At 37.5% G+C, this 25706-nt stretch overlaps 1 protein-coding gene across 11 annotated transcripts in view; it reads right to left on the reverse strand.

The window, feature by feature from the left end:
• PPP4R3A (protein phosphatase 4 regulatory subunit 3A) overlaps nucleotides 1-25706 on the reverse strand; it is a 53047-nt gene that overhangs the window by 7653 nt on the left and 19688 nt on the right. For 2 of the 11 annotated variants that reach the window (NR_169193.1, NR_169191.1), the window contains 11 exons: nucleotides 25587-25642; nucleotides 20472-20570; nucleotides 16416-17033; nucleotides 11749-11826; nucleotides 11248-11364; nucleotides 10690-10806; nucleotides 8079-8210; nucleotides 7873-7975; nucleotides 5677-5835; nucleotides 1101-1256; nucleotides 90-259 (listed from right to left, as the gene is read on the reverse strand). Coding sequence is in view for 7 of the 11 variants with exons in the window: in XM_005267842.3 (XP_005267899.1) it covers nucleotides 90-259; nucleotides 5677-5835; nucleotides 7873-7975; nucleotides 8079-8210; nucleotides 10651-10806; nucleotides 11248-11364; nucleotides 11749-11826; nucleotides 16416-17033; nucleotides 20472-20570; nucleotides 25587-25642 (1688 nt within the window). In the remaining 4 variants the exon portion in view is untranslated. The other 9 variants (NR_158976.2, NR_169192.1, XM_047431561.1 and 6 more) reach the window with 6 other exon arrangements.

The following is a 25706-nucleotide window of genomic DNA, read 5'->3' on the forward strand; positions in this document are numbered from 1 at the left end:
TATCATCTCAAGCCAAAATACTAGGTAATGCATATTCAATTTTCTCAAACAATTAAAATGAAAATTCTAATTAAAAATACAGAACCTACCACTCTAATAAATTCAAACATCTCTATTATGGCAGAGTTCATCAGATTGTAGCGGGATCCATTGTTGAGAAATGCTTTCACTACTGGTTCAAACAAAAAACTTTTCATTATGTAGCGGTTGTAAAACTCATCTTTTAATCCAATAATCTTTCTTTTAAAACGAAGGGCACCTGAAACACAGAGGCATGGTTGTTTAAATCACATACCACTCTTCCATACTTTAGACTTACCAAACAAAAATAACCATCAAACCAAAAAAAACTGTTTAACACATATCAATAATTATTTATGATGTTTGCACTTCCGGAACTGTGAACCTAAAGATAAGGATTATGAAAATGTTATCAGAAAAATGTCTTCTAAAAGTAGTATATGTCATCATAGAACACAAGTCTTAGAAAGCCAGAAAAATCCTGAAAATAAACCAGTTACTAATGACCAAAATGTAATTTACATCTAAAATAAGAGCTAAGACAAATGAATGAACCTATCACACTACTTAAGATGAAAAAATTCAACATGACCTTTTATATCCACCTTAATAGAAAAAACCAGTGTTTTATTAGGGCAATCCACTGTATAATTTGATCTTCAATATTTTTGGACACTCTTATTATTTTGCATTGTAGTTCATGGAATTTTATTTATTTGTGGATGTGGCTGTAGAAAGGCCATCAACCCACAAAAATCTGCATGACCCAAAATTTGCCTTGCCATAGTTTAAAAATAAATTTAGAGGATGTTATTTAAAATGTGGTCCTCTATGCTTATTGTAGCGAGTATGCTTTTTAATTTTTTTCTAGTTTTCATTTTCATAATTAATTAGGCTTTAACTTACAGATTAAAAGGTATATTTACATCTTGAGGTATGGGGAGTTACTTAAGTCACCATTCATCAAGACACAAATATACTCAGACAGCTAGACTTCAACAAAGCCCTCTTTACCTAAATGGAATTATCAGTAAGTTAATGCCCCAGTTATTGTAAACAGTGCAAAAAAGCATACTCACTTCATGCAGTCACATCGTCTTCGGTTGGCAAGATTAAATATTGTGTTTGTATTTTGGTTTCTTTGGAGATCATGGAAGTGGCTCGTTAAATTGCCAATTTGCTATTAATCAAGTCCTTCATGAGCAGGTAGCCAGGCAACCATGCTGACACGGTTTCTGGGTGGGAAGGCAGAGGAGTAAAGCAGCTCAATTTTTCTTTAGTTGGCAGAAAAGAGGTCCACAAGTGAATGCCCAATTAGGTACAGTTGATTATTAACTGCCTTAACAATGCAACTTATTTAAGAGTGTATCTTTCTTAAGAAACACTCTGGGCAGGGAGTTTCTAAATAGTTTATAGAATAATAATTGCATTTTATTTTTTAAACTACTGAATATTTTTAAAAACATACTCATGGTGAACTAAGACATTTTAAACACTAAGAGGCATCTTTCTGTGTGATAAGTCAAAGCCTAACAAGGGTTTATTTTCCCAAAACAATATTTTCAGTTTGTATTTTTAAGGTTATTTGACAAAGGAACTTACTGAGGCATTTCCATTTGTTAGGAATAAAAATCAGTACTTTAGAGCTCATGCTAATAGACCACATTTTAAACTTGTAATAATTAAGGCAGGAGTATTACTATTTTAAGAATTTGTACTCCAACTTTGCGGGCTTTGTGGAGACTTGTGTCCTACCATAACACACACACACACACACACACACCCCTCTTGTCTGACTATAGTTCCTAGGTGAGTGAAAAACTCCTTTCCTGAAATTCACTAAGACAAGGGAATGTAGATGGCACCACTGCACTTCTTCCAGAGCACTTCTATCCAGAAACTGCTGGGGTAGATAGAAGGAGGTTCTAGTGGTCTTTTTGTTTTGGTCCTTATTTCCATTTGCTCTTACATTTTATATCAAGAACTTTGTATTATTACCACTCAAATCCATCCCTTAAAAGAAACCTGCATCAAAAACATCCAACCACTATTCTTTGCTGTTGAGTAAAAAGCTGCTTTCAAAATTTTACCAGTAAGATCTAGGAAGTCAAGTCACTCAAAGTAGAGTGGAGAAAGCTTTTAGGATAGGCCAAGTTGGCACTGCCATTGGATTTTCAATGTAAAGCACATTCTGCTTCCACTCACATCTCTAACCTTCATTAACATTTCCAGGAACCTCTTGTGCTTAGTTTCAATCATCTCTAAAAAACATTATTTATCTGTACTTTATAAAACGTGAATTTCATGTAATAAATTTGTGACTTTTTACCTTGTAACTAATGATAATTGAATAAATGCCTCTATAATAAAGCTTTATTTCACTCCTTTTTAAGATTTCCATGTTTTTAACAACAAAACACTCTCAAACAACATAAAAGTATGAGCTAAAGGGCTACAATGTAAGATCCAAGGAACTTAATAAGGCCAAGGAAATTGATAGATGTGATATCTAGCCTATAAAGACCGAGTTTAGAAACGATTGCTAGACACACCTACATACTTAACTAGTTGTCTTTAAAGATGACAAAGTATAATAATTAAGCAGCAGCAAATATAAAAAAATTAAAAGCTCCCTAAATCCCCAAACTGTTACATTTAATTGCTCATTACTGTCTGCATTTATATATGTGCACCTAAACTTAAATATCAATAAACCCTCCTTTAAAAAATACTATACCTAATACTTCAATGTACACTTTTTTTCAGAAGAACCACAAGTATCTTAAATTTCCTCAAATTTATTTTAGTTCTTAGATATCTTTGATAAAAACTCCTATTGCATACTACAAAGCCAGTTCTAAAAAGCTTGTTCCTAATGACAGACATCTTTGTTAGGAAGATACTTATATATCCTCAACCCTGGGAAGAGAGGTACACCAAGAGGTCCTTTCAAAGAGTTAGGTTTAATGATAACCTGACTCAGTTTGGAAAATATCAACAATGAAACATAACTAAGATTTTGCTAACATACTTAGTTTCCAACAATAAACTTTCATTTACTTAAAAGATTCTCTCCAAAGTTCTCATTAGATTATGAGAAATTTTCTTTGCAATACTGCAAGCAAAATAATGAAATGATGAACTGAACTAAAGAAAAGTCCTTTGCTTTCAGCTGCATTGTCCTGACTCTCTTTAAAAATGACCAAGTAGGCTGGGCGCCATGGCTCACGCCTGAATCCCAGCACTTTGGGAGGCCGAGGCAGGCGGATCACGAGGTCAAGAATTTGAGACCAGCCTGACCAACATGGTGAAACCCCATCTCTACTAAAATACAAAAATTAGCTGGGTGTAGTGGTGCGCTCCTGTAATCCCAGCTACTCAGGAGGCTGAGGCAGGAGAATTGCTTGAACCCAGGAGGTGGAGGTGCAGTGAGCCGAGATCGTACCACTGCACTCCAGCCAAGGCGACAGAGTGAGACTCCGTCTCAAAAAAAAAAAAAAAAAAAAAAGGAAAAAAGAAAAAAAAGACCAAGTATACTTTGTCCACATGCCACACTTTTTTTTTTTACCCAATTAACATCTTAACTATGTATTCAACCAAGAATGCAATACTCTCCCATGACCAAGACACAACTCAAGTTACCAATTGTGTGAAATTTTTCATCTGCCTCATTAAATTATAATGAATTATTTCCACTATGCATCCAAACACACCTCAATGTAGTGCTTATTACTGTTGCATTTTGATTTTCACATGACTCCCTCCTCCTAATGAACTGATTCCATTGATGGCCAAGTCCAGGTCATAACCATCTTCATTTTCCTAGTACACCAGATATAAGATAGTAATCAAATCTAAGATGCCACTGACTAAGCTACCAATTATAGTGACATGCCATTAACCCATTCATGCTAGAGGTTGCAAATTTTTTCTGTAAAAAAAAAAAAAAAAAAAATCAGACCTTGGTGTTGACCTTAAGCAGGATATAAATAACTCCCACAAGCTTAGCGTTCCAATAATGGAACACTAGGCATAAATGGGTTAATTGTAAGACTCATCTTAATTTCAGAGATAATGTTTAAAAGTGTACATTTTTTGAATCAATGAAATATAGTTGTGTTTAATATGTTTGGTAAAATAAAACAATTTATTCATTTATTCAGTTTTTCCATTCTGCTCTCAAATCCCCTTTTCCACACTTGAACAAAACTCTATTGTCAACATAAAAGAACAAGTCAAAGAGCTATAAACTCCCCCTCTAAACTTGGCCTTGGTGTTCTCACTTTTTCTGTGATAGTATATGAGAAAAATGAATATAATGTTGCCCTGATAGGAAGTTTAATGAATTTTAAAAGAAAGCAATGTTGCTTTTATAAAATATAAAATTTATTATTTTTCTTGGGTGGGGAGACAGTGTCTCTCTGTTGCCCAGACTGGAGTGCAATGGTGCAATTTCAGCTCACCGCGATATCTGCCTCCCAGGTTCAAGCGATCCTTCTGCCTCAGCCTCCCGAGTAGTTGGGACTATAGGCGTGCACCACCACACCCAGCTTTCTATTTTTAGTAGAGACGGGGTTTCACCATGTTACCCAGGCTGGCCTAGAACTCCTGACCTCAGGTGATCTGCCAGCCTCATCCTCCCAAAGTGCTGGGATTATAGACATGAGCCACTGCACCTGGCCATTTATTTATTTATAAATTTAAAATAAAATTTTAATTTATAATTATTTTAATAATATGTAATTACATGATTTAAGGATTTTTAAAAAATCAATTAAGCAAAACAATTAGAAATGAAGTAAAGAAGATTAGCAAAAATGGATATATATTCAGGCCTCTAATTAGTGCATGACTATGACTGCTTCAAACAACAACAACAACAAACACTCAAACTTACCTTTAAAAACCAAAGGGCAAAAATTAAATTACCACCAGAAATCTCTTACAGAACCTCTAAGGTACCCCTAAATTTGGTCTAACAACTTACCAGTAAGGACCACTTACATATGGCAACTCATTACCTGAGATGTCTGGCTGCTGCTTGATAAAGAACATCCTGGATTAACCTATTTTCAATTCAGAAACATGGTTTTCTCTAACAAACTCGGGTCTTAAGAACACTGTGAAAGTCATTCTGAAAAACTTATGTCTAAGAACAATCTTGTTATGAGACTATATTGCTCTAAAAGAGTCTACAAACGTTTTCATAAAGGTCCACCTAGTACATATTTTAGGCTTTGTGGGCCACATATGGTCTCTGTACCATATTCATTTCTCTCTTCTCAGGCCACCTTTTAAAAACATAAGCATGTTTCAGCTTGTAGGCTGTACAATCACAGGCCATGGGCTGGATCTGGCCTCAGCTGTAGTCTGTCACCCCTGCTATAAAATATCCAAGGTAAAATGATCAAAGTGCTGTTTTAGTAATGGAATATAACACTGTAGATACATTCTACTCCCTTACTGTATATTAAGTAAGAAGAGAGTCAAGAAAAACACCTGCTCAACATGGCAAACCTGCATAATCAGTGGCAGAGCTAGTATTACGACCTAGATCTCCTGACCTGTAATCAGTGGTCTTTTCATTTGGGCAATAAGATGTAAAAAATACCAACATGTCAATATACAAAGATGATAAATAATTCTAACACTTACATAATGCCAAGAAAGCATGCTTCGAGGCCATAAGAACTAGCACTCTCCGGAGGATATCCTTATTAATAATGTAGTTCTTTATGTGGTAGGTATGGTGCTCCACACAAAATGTTAACAATTCCAATACAAGTGCCAATAGTTGGGCAGTCTGAAAATCATCTAAAAGAAACAAAACACAACTAATTATATTTAATGACTAACATTTTTCCTTCTAAAATGTAAGAACTCAAATTCTAATCAAGTAAAATCTCTTCTATTAACCTAAATATATTAACTTTAGGGAGGAGGAAATTAGCATTTACTGAACGCCTAACATGTGCCAGGAATGGTGCTTTACTTTTTTTTATTTAATTTTAACAACCCTATAAGAAACTGTTTCACATTATGAGCCTATTAACTAACTAGACCCAAGTTGGAAAAGTTAGTAAGGCAGAGTTATGATACAAATCTAGAGTATCTGCCTTATTCCAAAATTCAAGGACCCTCTACCAGGTACCTTAGCATGTTCTCCAACAGATATAGCATATGAGGTTTTGCCAGACACCGTGTCATCTTTGGTGCAATTACTCTCTCTCCCTGTTCCCTTGATTCCAGTGTGTTTTGTGCCTCCTTTACTACTTGTAACGAGTCTATACTGAATTATAATCATTGACTTATCTTTACTCCTCACTAGGCAGCAAGCCTCTGAAAGGCTTTTTTTCATTCCCCCACGTTTAGATTATAACACAGTCCTTCACAAAATCACAATGAGTTCTCATCTTAATAAAGGTTGGAGGAATAGAACATGTGGTTTGGAAAGAAGCCTCAAGCTTTACCTAATATGAATAAAGCAGGTAAGAAAAATGGACATTCACATTTCATGGACTTGATTCTGGAGTTACACAAAAAGTAAATTTAACTTGTGTTTTATGTGAGTGCTATAATTATGCTATATTAAGAATTCAAGGCTGGGCGTGGTGGCTCACACCTATAATCCCAGCACTTTGGGAGGCCAAGGTGGGCAGATCACTTGAGGCCAGGAGTTTGAGACCAGCCCGGCCAACATGGTGAAAACCCTGCCTCTACTAAAAATATAAAAATTAGCCAGGCATGGTGGCAGGTGCCTGTAATCCCAGTTACTCAGAAGGCTGGGGCAGGAGAATTGCTCAAACCTGGGAGGCAGAGGTTGCAGTGAGCCGAGATCCCGCCACCACACTCCAGCCTGGGCAACAGAGCAAGATTCTGTCTCCAAAAAAAAAAAAAAAAAAAAAAATTCCAATGACAAAATAATGTATTTACTCCTAAAGCTTAAATAAGCAATTTTTGAATGTAGACCTAAAACTACCTCCTAAATTAAACACACGCACACGCACGCTAAAGCTCTAATGAATATAATACAAAAATAACAAACCTTAACATATCTTCAATATAAATAAAAGTAGCTTAATATTGTGCAAAAATCCTAGCTCTGTCTATACATCTGGAGTACAAATAATTTAAAATGAATTTTTTCATAGCTACTGCCTTCTATTTATATTTCACCAGTGTAGATGCAAACTGAATACAAATATTGTTCAACAAAAAATTATCTTATTTCTTTTACATGTTTCTGTTATCTGATTACAGTACTTTCAGGAAAATTGTTTTTTTTTTTTTTTTTTTGAGTTGAAGTCTCACTCTGTCGCCCAGGCTGGATGGAGTGCAGTGGGGCGACCTCGGCTCACTGCAAGCTCCGCCTCCTGGGTTCACGCCATTCTCCTGCCTCAGCCTCCCCAGTAGCTGGGACCACAAGGCACCTGCCACCACGCCCAGCTAAATTTTTTTTGTATTTTTTTAGTAGAGATGGGGTTTCACCGTGTTAGCCAGGATGGTCTCGATCTCCTGACCTCATGATCCGCTTGCCTTGGCCTCCCAAAGTGCTGGGATTACAGGCCTTTTAGGGACATTTTTGTCATGAACCTTTCTTTTCAAAATACATCATTAATTCTCCAGGTTGCTTTTGATAAAAACAACCAACCAACCAACCAACCAACCAAATTATTAAGACCTCTATGTTAACCTGATGGTTTGAACTTTTAAAGACTACTACTTTTTAAAAGGTGTGTCCTCCCAGCCTCTACCTCCCACTAACTGCCTCCTAAAAAGACTGACTTAACACCAACTTTGAATTCAGCATTCAAGAACAGAGAACTTAACTACCAACCTGAATTATCTTACCTTTACTAGGTTTGTCTTCTGTTGTATTTGCTAGTAAAGGAGCAGTGAGAACATGCATACAGTGCTTGTAGAAGAAACCCAGAAATTCAGTCTTTTCTGTTTTCTAAGGAAACAAGAACAATTCCATGAACTTTAACCACACTGGTTCCTACCAGCAATACACAATATACTAGCTATGAAAAAGAGGGGAAATGCTCATGGCTTACATTGGCAGTGGCTAGCATGTTCTCTGGGTCAACTAAAGTTCGAAGCAGGCCCATAAGCTGGACTGCTCCTCCAAGTTCAGGATCTGTATCACAAATCATATGTTCTATAATGAGGTTGATGAGCAAAATATCCTGGAGAGAAAAATAGACATACTCAGGATCACTTATTATGAGAGAACGGAAAAAGCAAAAACTAAGACACATACCACAGCATTATACCTAGGCTCTAGCTGTTTTGTTAACTGCAAAGTGAAATGTTTAACTCAGTTATCTGACAGGACATATGACAGTGTTTCATTCCCTAAAGTGTGGTACAGGGACATAGCCCTAAATAGAAATTTCTTGTCTATTATCTTTAAATTCCTCTGAATAAAGCAAAAGCAAAGTTTTAGTTTGGTGATAATATATCTTTACAACTTTCTAATAATGTAATCTACCTTTTGAAGAAAGCCAGTGGGTTTTATGACCATAGCTTTAAGAGTAAGAATATTTAGGTAGGATTTAGAACATCATAATACTTTCGTTGCTTTTATTTTTATTTTATTTTTTTGAGACGGAGTTTGCCTCTTGTTGCCCAGGCTGGAGTGCAATGGCACGATCTCGTCTTACTAACCTCCACCTCCCGGGTTCAAGCGATTCTCCTGCCTCAGCCTCCCTAGTAGCTGGGATTACAGGCATGCACCACCATGCCCGGCTAATTTTGTATTTTTAGTAGAGACGGGGTTTCTCCATGATCGTCAGGCTAGTCTTGAACTCCCTACCTCAGGTGATCCGCCTGCCTCAGCCTCCCAAAGTGCTGGGATTACAGGCGTGAGCCACCGTGCCTGGTCTATTGCTTTTATTATTATAGAGTCCTTCTATTTATGGCCAGTGATGTATGTTCTCCATTTGTAAAAGTGATATAAAATTTCCTTTTAAAATAAATTTAGGAAAAAATTATCTGAATGTCTGAAATTGGAGAAAATGAGACTATGGTATTTAGAGAGTGCAGAGAACAAATGGATTATACACATTCTAAATATCAAAGAAAAGAGATGGCTGGTTTTCCTGAGGTCCTATTATGACTGGTATTCCTCACCTAAGTAGTAAATAAGATTGAGAGGGATTCAGTGAGAAAATCCCTGCTCTTGCCTATGTGTATGCAAAGGCAGGATGGACAAGGGATAGAGAAAATGCAGACAGTAGATGGAAATGATGATTAAGAAGAGTGGGAATCAAGAGTCCTAGTGACTGAAATGTTATTCTGTTGCAAAACAGGAAAAAAAAAGAGTCCTACTGTGTGTATTTTGAGGTATATCAATACATGTTCATATGTTCAGCTCATGGGTTAATGGGACCAACAATAGCCTTTATTTTCAATAATACAGATACTTTGGTTCTCAAAGAATTTTTTTTTTTTTTTGAGATGGGGTCTGGCTTCGTCACCCAGACTGGAGTGCAGTGGAGCAATCATAGCTCACTGCAGAGTCAAACTCCTGGTCTTAAGAGACTCTTCCTTCTCATCCTCCTGAGTATCTGGGACTATGGGTGCATGCCACCATATCTAAGTTTTAAAAATTAATTTTGTACTAAAGGAGGGTCTTGCTATGTTGCTGAGGCCGATGTTAATATTTTATAAAAGAAAAACATGACACAACAGTTCAAACTGGTGCTTTTTTGCACCTATCCTGCACTATAAAAATAAAAACTTAAACATAGCAGTTACATGGCATTCCATTTCCTTTTGACATCACAATACATTAAATAGGATCTTTTCAAAAAGTAAGACAGTCTATTTTCCTATTTCGTAAAAATACCACAGGCTGGAATTCTAAACAGATTTTTTTTTTTTCCTTAGGGGATCTTTATTCCCCTCCTCCCTTAAGAAGGACCTGAGAGCAGGTCCTTCTTACTCATTCTTACGTAAAAAGTTGCTTCCAAATTGTTATGGGGGAAGCAGGAAAAAATCAGAATCATTGGTTCAATTATTTTAAAATAAAGGAGAGCACACACATTTAGTGCTCTCACATGTCACGCACTATGTGATCCAGGCGCACCCTTCACATTACCAGGATATATTCTCTACTACTTTAAAATCTGGTATATCTCAGATGCTAACGTGAGTGTTTGTGAACAACGTAACAGCTTGTTCTCTATGGCTAGGCAGTAAAGAAACAGCACCCTTCATATTTTAAGGGACTGTGCTACATTTCTTCATTCTTGGCGATTTTGAGAATCTACCCTAAAGTCAATGTTTTCCTAGGTAACTTACTCTTAATTCCCCAGATACAAGAATTGATTGACTAAATGATTTAAAAAACACAATATAGCAAGTTGACTTCAGAATTAAAACAAAACAAAACAAAAAAAAACTGACATGAATATTTTAAAAGGCAATTTAAATGAACATAAATAGTTGCTGTAGGACAAATTGATAAACTGAGACAGGAACCAATTTAGGGGAACAATAAGCTGTCTGATATTATGGCTACACTTTTCCCAAACAGCAACAATTAAATCTTAAAAGTGAATAATAAAAACAGTTATAGCTTCCTATGTATAAATACTTACTATTAGTACAAATAATATTTACCTTGCTGGTTATTTTTTGCTCTGTTAACTTCTTACTTACATCATCATTCTGTTGTGCCTCCTGCATGACAAACTCTCGTACCATGGATGGATTATATTCAACCAAGTATGAGAATATATCAGTAGCAGCACTTCGCACCTGTGTATCATCCATGCCCTGCAGACAAAAAACATTTATTTTTCCTGTATTTATAAAAATACGGAACCTATAGCTATGTAAATATCCAAACCTAACAAAACATATGAAAAAACTTCAATGTAAAAGAAAGGTCAAAGAAATTCTTCTGCATATAAAACTCTTATTGTACGGATAAAATTATACTTTCTAAATCATTTATTTGTTTGCCTATTTTAACATTTCAGCTAATAAGCTGCAAAGCTGACAAACTATCATTAAATTATGGGAAATTCCTTTACTGCATTCTTTCAATACTGTGTGAAAACTGTCTAATATTGGAATTTTACAGCTTCTTTAACTTAATGAACTACGCAGCTAATTTCAAATATTGGCTATAATAGAATATTTGCATGTAGCATTAAAAATATTAATTTTGGGATTAAAAAATGGTAATTAAAAATGAGGAGACACAAAACTTACAAGGATGACTTCTAAAGCTGGTAATATGCCCATGTTTGACAAAGTCTTGAAAAAAGCATCTCTGTTTTGAGGCTGTAGCGTTTGGGAAAACGCACAAAATTCTTTTAAAAAGTTAACCTGAAATTAGAAAAAAGGATAAGTGATATAAAAAGTTTATTTTATTTATTTATTTATTGAGACGGAGTCTTGCTCTTGTTGCCGACGCTGGAGTGCAATGGCACGATCTTGGCTCACTGCAACCTCCACCTCCCGAGTTCAAGCGATTCTCCTGCCTCAGCCTTCTGAGTAGCTAGGATTACAGGTGCCCGCCACCATGCTTGGCTAATTTTTGTACTTTTTAGTAGAGATGGGGTTTCGCCATGTTCGCCAGGCTGGTCTCAAACTTCTGACCTCGTGATCCACCCACCTCGGCCTCCCAAAGTGCTGGGATTTACAGGCGTGAGCCACCAAGCCCGGCCAGTTGTTTTATTTTTATGCCTTTCATAGTATCTAATTTCTTACCAATTCCTGTCTTTTTTCCTCATCTGTTGCTTCATCTGTTAGTTGTGCAAACAAATCTGTCAGAAATTTTTCATCTTCCTGTGAAACAAAGGACAAATGCAATTATGTTAATGCTAAGATTGTCCTAAAATATAATTTCAGGAATGCTTTAATATACACAGCAATAACTATAAAAAGGAAAGGTGGTATTGGCAATGCTGTCTTTTTTTTTTTTTTTAACAGAAGGAAAAACCACACTATTAAAGTATAAAATTTTGTCAAGGCTCTATTTTCTAAGCCTATATAAAGGCCAGGTAGTAAATATTTTGAGCTTTGCGGCCCATGTGATCTCTACTACGAGTACTCAACCCTGCTCCAGTAATATGAAAGTAGTCACAGACAACTGGAAATGAATGGATATGGCTGTATTTCAATAAAATATTACTTACAAAAATAGCAGGACCAACACTTGCTGACCCCTCACTTTCATAGGTTTTATAACCTTATTAACTTTTAAAAGGTAGTTCTACAACCTCTCAAATGAGAATGAAAATGAAGACAAAGCTACTTTAGTGTTTTAAAGATACAGAGAATGACTCAATTATTTAAAAAGCAAAATTTAGAACTTTTTGTTTTACTTCCTCATTTTATAATTGAGACTTGGATTTTAAAATTTACCCAAGCCCAATTAAGGTGGCAGAGCCTTCATGATTGTCCGGTCAATGTTTCTCATCACTATTTTTTCATCAAGATCTTGGCTTTTGTTTTGTTTTGCTTTTTGAGACAGAGTCTTGCTCTGTCACCCAGGTAGAGCACAGTGGTGCCATCTCGGCTCACTGCAACCTCCGCCTCCCAGGTTAAAGCAATTCTCCTGTCTCAGTCTCCTTAGCAGCTGGGACTACAGGCACACACCACTACACCCAGCTAATTTTTGTACTTGTAGCAGAGATGGGGTTTTGTCATGTTGGCCAGTCTGGTCTTGAACTCGTGGCCTCAAGCAATCCACTGGCCTGGGCCTCCTGAAGTGCTGGGATTACGCACATGAACCACCATGCTCGACCAAGATTTTAATTACTACCTCAGCTAGTGGAAGTAGATTCAATACCACTTAAGCCCTAGACATGCCTCACTCTAAATACACATACACATGGATGTATATACAAGCTCCCACTAGATTACTGGCTCCACATTCACTGTTGTGAGTGCTCCAGAAAAATCTTCTGTGGCACTAAGTTAGTTTGGTTATTCTCACCTTTACTTTTTCTAAAATGAACAAATAGGTCATACCTCATTAATATGATCTTGACCATGTTTGCTACCCAAATGGCATCCAATTTCAAGACACATCTCCAATATACTATATTCTACCAAATGGGTATCAAATGGTTAAAAAAGACATTCTCTGAACTGCTGCAGTTGGGGGTACAGAAATAGAGAAAATAAGAATGTTTATGGTACTACAAAGGAAGCAGTCAATGTTAAGAGGGTGTGATATTTATTTTGTGTGCATGGGGCTATACAAAGTGGGCAGGAACCTGCATTAAACTGTACCTCAATCACTTCTTGCCAAAACATTTGTAAAATGCTACAGCCTTCACAGCAGCACTTTGGATAGAAGTGTCCAGCATCAAGAGAAACAGACATATTGGCAGCCAGTATTTTACAAAGCACATTACAGGGAAGCAAAGATTTAACAACTTGAAATTATTCATACTTAATGAATAAAACTGGCATTTTACATGTATGAAGACCAAGAAAACACAGAAGTGACAAATCCCCACATAACAAAAACAGAACCATATGGAGCTAAAGAAAAGGATCAGGAGAACTCAGTATTTTAGTTCATACTTTTCCTTTTTTTGCCTATCACTGGCTAATATTTTAGAAATACAAAATTTTCTAAACAGGAACAGACATGATTAAACATACTGCTTTATATGTAATGTGTGCTACCAGGCAGCTCTTACTACATTTATTGTCTTCCTTTCTATACTTAACAAATTCAGGTTTCAAATAAATTTTACTTATACACCTGAGGTAAAGTCTTAAAAGATCTTCCAAGTCATATTACACTTATCTGCAGCGGTGCGACCTTGGCTCAATGCAACCTCTGCCTACCAGGTGCAAATGATTCTCCTGTCTCAGCCTCTGGAGTAACTGGGATTACAGGCATGTGCCTCTGCCTCCTGGATTCAAGCGATTCTCCTGCCTCATTCTCCTGAGCAGCTGGGATTACAGGTGTCCACCATCACGCCTGGCTAATTTTTGTAGTTTTAGTAGAGACGAGGTTTTGCCATGTTGGTCAGGCTGGTCTCGAACTCCCGACCTCAAGTGATCCACCCACCTCAGTCTCCCAAAGACCTATTATTCTTACAATACCACAGGCATCAAAGAATAAAAAACAACGTGTGTGTGTGTGTGTGTGTGTGTGTGTGTGTGTGTATGGGTGCAAATAACAATTCTTTCTTTGTACTACACAAACTTATTTTTTTGTTGTTGAGATAGGGTCTCACTCTGTTGCTCAGGCTTGAGTGCGGTGGCATGATCATTGCTCACTGCAGACTCAAACTCCTGGGCTCAAGCGATTCTCCCAACTCAGCCTCCCACATGGCTGGGATTATAGGCATGCATCACCATACCTGGCTAATTTAAAAAAAAAAAAAAATCTTTTTTGAGACAGAATTTCACTCCTGTTGCCCAGGCTAGAGTGCAATGGTGTGATCTCAGCTCACTGCAACCTCCGCCTCCCAGATTCAAATGATTCTCTCGTCTCAGCCTCCCGAGTCTGGGATTACAGGCGTCCACCATCACGTTTAGCTAATTGTTGTATTTTTAGTAGAGACGGGGTTTCGCCATGTTGGCCAGGCTGGTCTTGAACTCTTGACCTCAGGTGATCCACCCGCCTTGGCCTCCCAAAGTGCTGGGATTGTAGGCGTGAGCTACCGCATCCAGCCCCAGGCTAGTCTTTAACTTCTGGGTTCAATCGATCCTCCTGCCTTGGCTTCCCAAAGTGGTGGGATTACAGGTATAAGCCACTAGGCCCAGCCTATGTAAACTTCTATTTCAGTTAGAATAGACCAATTCACACACTGGGATGACACAGTAAGAGCTTTTCTAATTTTGGGGGTGTTACAAACGCAAATTATTGTCTAGCTCTCAGAGACTTTGACTCAGGTTTTGTGCAGAATTCATGATACTGCACCCTAGGGGACTGTGATGCAAATACCCTAAAACACCAGATCAGAGAGATTGGGCATACTATAAGAAAAAAAAATCTACATTTTAATAAGCAATTATCAATAGACACTTAAAAAATTCCCATGAATCTTACATCATATTAAACACTTTCTTTACATGCCTGACCTCAGTTAATTTTCAGACAACTTTACAGGGTAGGCATTAATGTCACCATCCTTCAGATGGGGAAACCGAAGCTTTAAGAAGTTAAGGCTGCCCAACTCACATAGCTACTGTTATTAAGTGACAGACGGAGCTGAAACTCAAATTCACATGGGTTTAACTCACCCACAGGCACACCCCTTAGCAAAACGTGGCTTTTGGTAGGGATACATGCAGTTATAATTTGCCTCCTCTGCTACATTCCCTAGACCCTGAAACTGGACTTTTACCGTATCATTATCTGGGAATTTTACAAATTCGTTTTAAATTTTATTTTTTTGGTAGAGACAGGCCATAGCGCCTGGCCCACAATTCTCATTAGAATTTATATTCTGTGTTTGGTGACATTTCTCTTGGCTTTGTGCTTCACTCTTTCCTCTTCCAATCTGTTCTATTCTATGCAAAATTCATAGAGTAATAACCCCAAAGTTCAGCATTCAACCATTTCATTAATATTATCCTCCTATAGTTGAGTATGGTGGCTCACAACTGTAATCCCAACACTTTGCAAGGCTAAGGTGGGAGAATTGCTTGAAGCCAGGAGTTTGAGACCAGCCTGGGCAACAAAGTGAGATCCATTCTTTACAAAAAAATTTTTAAAAGGTGGCTATGGTAGCATGCATCTGTAGTCTTAGCTAATTGGAAGGCTGAGGTGGGAGGACGGCTCAAGCCCAGGAGTTCAAGGTTGCAATAAGCTATGGCTGTGCCACTGCACTCCAGCCTGGGCAACAGAGCAAGACCTCAACTTAAAAAAAAAAAAATCAGGCTGGGCCCAGTGGCTCACACCTGTAATCCCAGCACTTTGGGAGGCCAGGGCAGGCAGATTGCTTGAGCTCAGAGGTTTGAGGCCAGCCTGGGCAGTATGACAAACTCCATCTCTACAAAAAATACAAAAATTGGCTGGGGGTGGTGGTGCACACCTGTGGTCCCAGCTACTCAGGAGGCTGCAGTGGGAGGATTGTTTCAGCCAGGGAAGCGAAGGTGGAGGTTGCAGTCGCTGAGACTGCATTATTGCCCTACAGCCTGGGTGACAGAGCAAGACCCTGTATCCAAAAAATCATCCCCTCATACCATTTCTTCAAACTACATTTGTCACACTTACCTCTCCTACCCCAGATAGAGTAACCTTCTGGTCTCGTATTATTATTGTATATTATAATCTCTTAAAATAACTCACAATACTTAACTTTATACATTAACAAAATTAAAACTCAATGTATGTATTTAAAAGGAGCAAATTGTTTTCGCTGCATCTCTTGAAATATGAAAAAAGGAATGATCTAACTCACCTGCAACATGCCAACAATCTCTACCTTATTGAAAAAGATAAAAGAGTGAAGTGTTGATAACATGTTTTCTTCAAAGACCGAAGGAGTTGGTAGAACCATATCTTGTATATACTGAACTCTGTATGTCTGATGAATTTTTTGTTTCAGCTCAGGATCTGATATGGGAATCACTTCTTTAAACTTGGCTGTTTTTGTTAGAAATTCCCTGTGTTTTCGTGGTTGTGATAAAGCAGGATCATATTCTAAACATCCAATGACGTCCATTATACATTCTTCAGAGAACATAACTTCAAAAAGAGCAGTTCGATTCAAGAGAAAGATGCCTTTGATAATTTCATACAAGTGGTGCAGTCCTTCAATATTTTCCAAATCTTCACACACATGAAAAAGCTCCAGGAGCTTTTTAATATAACCCTCATTTTCTAGTGCCAGTGCAAGTTTTTCACGACGAAGAGGTGAAGGTAAAGATGATGCCACAAGTTCTGCAATTTCTTCAAGGCGACTTAATTCACAAGATGGCAATTCTAAGCCTGGCGATGACATATCATCAAAACGCTCCTCTTCAGATTCATCCACAAGGTCCTGAGTGATGTCCACGGAAGGGTCCTTTCCTTGAACCTATGAAAAAAAATTTAATTGCTGACAAAATAGATAACAGGTGACCAGCAAACCTAAATGCTACTCTAAGATGAATACTAGAAATGTTGTAAGAAACCTATAATGGTCATTTTCAAGACAAAACTGCCTACTTTTCTACATTACATTTCTCCAAATATGTATACTTTCAATTTTAAGGAAGTTAGTCAAAGTTCAAAAACAGAATGAGCTTCCCTATAAAGTATGAGGTCTGCTGGCAAGAACAACTTTCTAGGACAGGCTAAACTAAGTGAGACTGTTACGAAACAGCCCTCTGCAGACCCACAACATAGAAGCCTGATGCTAAAACAGCCACTAACATCTCATATCCCTGGCCCTCTTTTCCAGCAGACCAAGGCAAGTCTCAGAAACAGTCCTAGGACTGTGCTAAAGGACACTGCCACCACCAAACTCTTCAATATTTAACTCTGAGGTGAAGACCAAATAAACACCAAATATCATAATGTTATGATCACAGAAAATATATATAATTATAAGCAAAAAGGAAAATATTTAACATCAATTGATTGTAGAAACCAAGGGCCAAAGAGCATGAACAAACTGGCTTTGGACCAAAGTGAGTCACTGATCTTCTATAAATACTGACAGCCCAAACACAGGATTTAAAAAACACTAGGCAGAATACAAGTGTACCTACATAAAAATGAAGCCACATATAAAGTAAATACAACCTATATGTAGTAGAGTTATTCCCAAAAAAGGTCTGCTGAAGGTTAAGTAACCAAACCACGAAAATATTTTCCTTTCTACACACCCTAACCTGTAGCCTTCATGATCCCTCTAGGAGCCTGAAAATCTGTCATAAAACCTAATTTTATGCCACTGGAGGGGCTCTTATTATAAAAAGGTAACTTATATTGACTACATTTTAAAGTAAGGCATTTTTTTTGGTAACAAAAGGTCAAGGATAAACTTTGAAATGAAACAAATTTTGTTATCTTGGCCCTAGAATTTGGGACAGTGAACACTAAAGCAAGTAGAAGGCCAAGTAGAATGGTAAAGCAATGAAAAAAATTAGACCTTATATGGAAAAGCCAAGAAACTTAAATTGCTTAGCGTAATGAACAGATGCACTGATAGATACTAGAAAAGATGACGACCTGGAATACTTTTCTTGAAATGTGCTGCAAGGTGATATGGTCTTGACCTCAACCAAGTGGACAGCAGCACTGAAAGGAGGCAAGTCACATTCATGGCTTGTACCTGCATGGTCTCACACTGGCTCTGAATTTGTTAATTATGTAAGCTCTCATTATAGTTTTAAGTTCCTGATACCCAAACTATGACTTTATCCACAGAAAAATGTTAGATTTTGATTAGCAAACCAAATGAAAAGAGAGGAGTGCCCTTATTATATTAAGAATGCCATCTTTTTGAGTTGAGCAAATTGGTGAACATGGTTCAAGAAATAGAAAAACATTTAATATCTCAGAGAGCAAAATGTAATGACTTTCTTGGATCTAGAAAATGATTGAGAAGTTCAGACAGAACCCATAAAAAGAGTGACTGAGAAATGACACCTTGAACATAAACTATATAAAAGTTGAAAGGGAGTATCAGAAAAGAATATTAAAGCAGCTAGTGATAAAATTATTAAGATGATGAAAAACTTTATGATATTAAAGACCAAACAAAGGTAAAGATCAGACAATATTAAAGGAGAGCCAGGCATGACAATGACAAAGTGAGTTCAGGTTTGAGTTACACATTGGCATAAAGGAAGACTGTATCCAGAGTGGAAGTGTTTGATTCAGAAAGATGAGAGAGGAGAACAAGATTTGTCTGAATAACAGATGCTATTAACATAGCCTGAACTCATTAATGTCACCTCTCTCTCTTTGGGATAACACTACAAGACAAAATCTAGAGACATATGCTATAAATATAATTGTTGGATGGAAAGCAAAGAAAAACTAAAAAGATGGATGGTATTCAGATATAAATGTTAGTCCTTTCATGTTTCAGAGAAGGAAAGGGACAGCTTAACAGACAGGTTAATTTATGAAAAGCACAGCGAAGTAGAATATATTCTTGAAATAAATTCCATTAAGTCAAGGAAAAACTGTGCTAAGGACACTATATCTTCTATGAATGCTATAGCTGTCAAACTTTAGGGTGCATCAGAATCACCAAAAGCAGGGGGCGACAAACCATAGCCAAATTTGGTCTGCCACCTGTTTTTGTAAATAAAAGTTTTACTAGAAGACAGCCCCTCCATTCATTTATGTGCTGTCTATGACTACTTCCGAACTAGAACAGCAGAGGTGACCTAGCTGTGACAGAGACTATATGGCCTGCAAAGCCTTAAATATTTACTATCTTGTTTTTTACAGAGAAAAGTCTGGCCTATAGGGCTTGTGAAAACAGAATTCCTAAGAAAGGATTTTAAAAAACAATTATTGGACCCTACTTGCAGTTTTTGATCCAGTAGGTCTGGGGTCGGCGGGAGGGGTGCTAGTCTCAGAATTTGCATTTCTATCAGTTCCCAGGTCATGCTTGTGCTGCTGGTTTGAGGGCCACATTCAAAGGAATTAAGGAATCTGGTGAAGATTATTCTCTAGATAAAGTAAACATGGAGATGGAGAAACCTTCTCTAGAAAGAAATGGCCTAAGAAGTGTATAACAAGAGCCAACAGCATTAGCTACTAGAGCACATACAAATGCAAATTCACAAAAGATTGTGATTATGTCACTAGGGAAACTCCAGAATAAATTAAGAACATTCGAGCCTAGAGGCACGGTAAGGCTGAATAGTCAGTCAACAGCCATACTGCTCAAGACAAGTACAAGGGTGGGTTTTCTTTCAAAAGCCACAAGAAGTTATGAACAAAGAGTGATGTAATCAGACTTGCATTTTTAAAAAGATCACCTAATTGCTCTAGCTAAAATGTTGATTTAGGAAGATCAGTCAAGACAAAACCAATAAACCAGGCAAGAAATGATGGTGGCTTGGAAAACTACAAAAGTAAAAATGAAGATAAGCCAATGGATCTAGATTTATTATCGAGGGACTGAATGGATAAAAGCGATGATGGAAGGATAAACAAGATCCACAAGTTTCTGATTTCAGCAACTGCATGGCACTTAGAAGGAGATGGGATAGATATATGTGAGAAGATTATGTTTGGTTTTGGAGTACTAAATTTGAGATGCTAGTGAACATGAAAAGAGAAAGTTTCAAAAAGGCAGGTGGATATAAAACACTGGAGTTCAGCAAAGGTATGAGCTAGAGAGTTTAGTGTCAATAAATTACACCTTCCTTTAAATCAAGTTCAAAGACAGCAGTGAATTTAAAAGATCAATTTGAAATTTATTTAAACTCTTGGGCATTAGTTGAAAGCATGGCAAAAAACTAAACACTTAAAGAAAGCATGTTGATTTTTTTATTTAAAAAATTACCTGACATATTTTCTCCCAAATTTCATCACATCCAGCTTTTTCTTGAAAGCTAAGGGCCAAGTCATAATTTTCTGCTTCAGACCACACAATCAGAGTGTCCTTTGGAGACATAAAAGGAGTCTGAATGATTAACATACACTATCACAAACGAAAATGAACAAACAAAAGGAAATAAAACTGTGCTCATTTTTACTTTTTGCAACACTAATACTGGCAATTATCAATGTCTTTCTTTTTCAAAACAATGACTTTTTACACTTCACTTCCCCCAATCTATAAAACAAAAATAATGTTTCCTTAAGGACAACTTAAACCAATATATGAAATATATTCTTTTCATGCATTGCAAAAGATAAAAACAAAACATTATACCAATTATACCAACGCTATCCGAGCATACTGACTTACATTTTATGCTGTCATTAAAATGTCCAAAGAGGAAATCTAAGCATAAAATAGCTAGGGCATGTTAGGACGATAGGGTTAATAAAACTCCTTCTCTCTTCCCTCTATTGTCAGCAGGTGTTTTTCACCAGGGGCCTCTGAGGTCCATGAAGCCCTTGAAATTATTGGCTACATTTGTAGTACGTGAGCATTTACCTATACATAGGTTTTTTTGTTTTTTTTTTTAAACTTAGCAAAGTGCTATGGTTCAAGAAGCAGCAAACTCCTAGCACCTACCACCCTTTCATTCCTATTCAGAACTTCTTAGTTTCATTTTTTGTAGAGATGGAGGTCTTGTCATGTTGCCTAGGCTGGTCTTGAACTCCTGGCCTTGGGCCCTCCCGCCTTGGCCTCCCAAAGCACTGGGATTACAGGCATGAGCCACAGTGCCTGGCCATCTAGACAGAACTTTAATGAAAATTTAATGAACAGTTCAACAGTTTTTATTAAGATGTAATCTCAGCAAGACACTGCACATACAATACTTACTGAGACCATTTTATATTCCTCATAGTACCAAGAGCATATATTCTACAATATGCATGGTATAATAAAAATATTTGGCTGGGCGTGGTGGCTCACGCCTGTAATCCCAGCACTTTGGGAGGCTGAGGTGGGCGGAGGTCAGGAGTTTGAGGTCAGCCTGGCTAACACGGTGAAACCCCATCTCTACTAAAAATACAAAAATTAGCCGGGCATGTGCCTGTAATCCCAGCCACTCGGGAGACTGAGGCAGGAGAACTGCTTGAACCCAGGAGGCGGAGGTTGCAGTGAGCTGAGACTGCCCCACTGCACTCCAGCCTGGGCAACAGGAGCAAAACTCTGTCTCCAAAAAAAAAAAAAAAAAAATAGAGAGTCAAAATATTTATAAGGCCTAATATATCCTTTTGGCAGGGTGCGGTGGCTCATGCCTCTAATCACAGCACTTTGGGAGGCCAAGGCAGGCGGATCACCTGAGGTCAGGAGTTCAAGACCAGCCTGGCCAACAGGTAAAGCCCCGTCTCTACTAAAAATACAAAAAAATTTTAGCCGGGCATGATGGCGGATGCCTGTAATCCCAGCTACATGGGAGGCTGATGTGGGAGAGTCACTTGAACCCGGGAGGCAGAGGTTGCAGTGATCCGAGATCGTGCCACTGCACTCCAGCCTGGGTGACAGAGTGAGAGTCCGTCTCAAAAAAAAAAAAAAAAAAAAAAAATCCTTTCAAATCTTACTGGCAATAAATAAATATACATACTGTTTGATAGCAATCAACCATTTCAAAAAAGGATCCTCTCATTGAGAGCAATCTATAAATCATCTCATACAAGAAATACTGAATGGTACTAGGGAGAGTTACATTTAATGGCTAACTTCAAAATCTGAAGGGCTATGTCACTCAAGTGTTTTTTCAAGCTGGTACAAAGAGAATTTAGAAGAGTAAAGTTAGATGGATTTGAATATGGTATAAAGAAAAAAATAATTCAATCTGACTAGCAAGTAACCAAAAACAGCCATGCAAAGGCCGACTGGGTATCCATCAGGATGATAATGGTTCCTGTATTGAGAAGGAAAGATGACTAGCTTAAGGTACCTTTAAGGACCTATGATTCTATTGCAGCAGTTTCTAATCTTTCTCACTAGGCAAGGACACTTCTGTTTTTTTTTGTTTGTTTGTTTTTTGAGATGGTGTCTCTATCACTCATACTGCAATGTAGTGGTGCCATCAAGGCTCACTGCAGCCTCTACTTCCCTGGGCTCAGGTGGTCCTTCCACCTCAGCCTCCCAAGTAGCTGGAACTACAGGCATGTGCCACCATGCCCAATGTTTGTATTTTTTGTAGAGGCGGAGTTATGCCATGTTGCCCAGGCTGGTCTCAAACTCCTGGGCTCTAGAAGTGCTAGAATTATAGGCGTGAGCCACCAACCCCAGCCAAGAACACTTCTTAATGTAACACAAATGGATTCCATGTTTAAAAATGTGTCTAAGCAAGGCACAATGGTGTATCCCTGTAGTCCCAGCTAGTTACGGGGCTGAGGAGGGAGGATTGCTTGAGGCCAGGAGTTGGACGCTGCAGTGCACTATGATCACACCTGTGAATAATAGCCACTGTACTCCAGCCTGAGCAACATATCAAGACCCCATCTCTAAAAAAAAAAAAAAATGAAAAATTTATCTGCCAAACTGCATATTAACTCTGTTCAGTCATTTATATAACTGTCAATCATGAGACCAGTAGTCTCACTGGACTAAAGTGCTGCCAGCCAGAAATAAACAGATAAGAATCTGATTTGGTTGTGCAGTATTACTAAGTCTATAATTTTTATTCAGAATTTTGGAAAACACCTCAAACTCCACTTTTTATACTATCTTAAAGGACTTCCATATATCACAGACACCAGGCAGGCAATCTGATCCAGACTGAGTGGCAATTCAAGCTCAAAACTATTAACATTCTAAGATCAACATGCCAAAAATTGGTAAGGTTTCATTTTTAGTTTACCTTTATAATTCACCAGAACAGAACAAATGGTAGAAGAATTTGCAGTTAATCTATAATTCTGGCAGCCTAAATACTTTACAAGGTTATCTGCTCAGTAAATACTGAGCACTTATTATAAGGCTCCAGATAAGACAAAATTAAAGTTATGTTATTTTCCCTCAAAATAGCATGGAATGAAAATACTAAGAAATTTAAGAGGTAAAGAGGCCACGGTATAAATTCTAATACCACCATCTATGTGGCAGGTAATGCTTAGAAAGTGAGGTAACCTCTCTGAGCCTCAGTTTCCTCATCATTAGGATGGGAAAGATATATACTGTTATGAAAACTAGTCATAATATAGATACCACTTTTTTTTTTTTTTTTTTGAGATGGAGTCTCGCTCTGTCGCCCAGGCTGGAGTGCAGTGGCGCAATCTCGGCTCACTGCAAGCTCCACCTCCCAGGTTCACGCCATTTTCCTGCCTCAGCCTCCTGAGTAGCTGGGACTGCAGGTACCCGCCACCACGCCCAGCTTATTTTTTGTATATTTAGTAGAGACGGGGTTTCACCGTGTTAGCCAGGATGGTCTCGATCTCCTGACCTCATGATCCGCCTGCCTCGGCCTCCCAAAGTGCTGGGATTACAGGTGTGAGCCACCACGCCTGGCTGGTACTACTTCTTAGTGATGAAAACAAAGTTGGCAGAAAATAACAATCATCTTGGGGGTGAAAGGAACAACCTGCCCAAATTAGATGGCTCCTAAAATTCTGATAAATACTTACAATTATCAGCCTTATTAAAGGCTACTAGGATAAGTGTAAAGCCAATAACACATTCTGCTATAACGTATATTCAGAATCACTTTGTGGCTGATGCTTAAGTCAGGGTATAGCCAGACATATGCTCTTAATTACCCATTTGACAAATCTAGCAAGTTTATAAAATTTTAGAAACTGCTTTTCTGTTTTCCTTGAAGATTCCAAATATTACAGCAACTTTTCCCCAAATTATCTTGCTTATCACCCAAAAACCTATAGGCTGAGACACATGAATCTGTTCATTCATTCTCAAAACAGTTTCAATCTTTCCTTTTTCTTAAGATGTGCTTTTACTCTTCAGCTGAATACAACTTCAAAACATGTATTTAATGTATTTAAGTATGGAAGACCAAAGCCAAATATTCCAGGCTCTAGATTTTTCCATTAAACTTAAGTTTTCTTAAGAACACTAAATGCAATACAGTATTCTATCAGACTATCAAACTATCAAGAAAATATACTGTATGAATGTTTGGTGGACAAATAAATCACGACTAAATATATTTAGGAGTTGACACCAGCATTCCTAACCACTATTTGTGTGGTCAAACAAGTCACGACCTTTACGCATCACCCAATGGGAAAAATAAAAACAATACTAACTTCTTTCTAGTATTTTAAAGATCAATGATGAAGCAAAGCACTTTATGAACAAGCTGGTAATCTTCTTTCTTCTCAATTAACTATTTTGTATCTGCATCTTCTGGGCAATGAGGGAACTGATCTTGACTTCATTGGCTATATAGAGCACTCATCCTGTGTGTCTGTGTGGGTGTACGTGAAGCGCACGCGCGTGTGTACTGAATGAATACCATTTAATAACAGCACTAGTTGATACTAAGTGAAAGATTTACTTTCTAATATTTTTTTGCATATTAGAAAGGTTTAAGAAAGTGTATTTTGAGTACACTGTACTGTGAAGTACAGTTACCTTCAAAACTGTAGTATCATAATAAGACCCTATTCAGGAATCTGTAAAAGAAATCAGATTCATATGACAGATTCCTATCTACACAGTACTGCTGTAGAGGGAGATACTAATGTTCCTTCTGCACTATCATCTACAACAGGAATTTTCACCATTTAACTGTGTTTGTAGCAGCTTATCACATCAATGGTCACCTTTTTTTTTTAGGTAAAAACAAGGAAATTTTAGGGCTCAGTTGCTATAGTAGGTGGAACACAAACTCCATTTTAACTTGTGGCAAGCTTTTTAAATTTAAAATTATTGTATTAAACACTATAGGAATTGGCAGAAATCCTATTTTAGAATTTCACTGCCAAACTGTTGTAATCTCTTCTAAATTTTTCACTATAAGCAATCAGATAATAAACTTTCATTTACTCAAAAGGAAAATATGCAAGATAAAACACATCTTCAAAATTTTACCTGTTGTTTCTGGTATGCAGTGTTAGGATTTATTTTCGACTCTAAAAGTAGAGAACCTAGGAAACAGAAAAAGACATTCCATTATGTTACTGTAAAACAGCAAAATTATATTCCCTTACA

Source organism: Homo sapiens, chromosome 14 (assembly GCF_000001405.40).
Source record: "Homo sapiens chromosome 14, GRCh38.p14 Primary Assembly".
Lineage (NCBI taxonomy): Eukaryota > Metazoa > Chordata > Mammalia > Primates > Hominidae > Homo > Homo sapiens.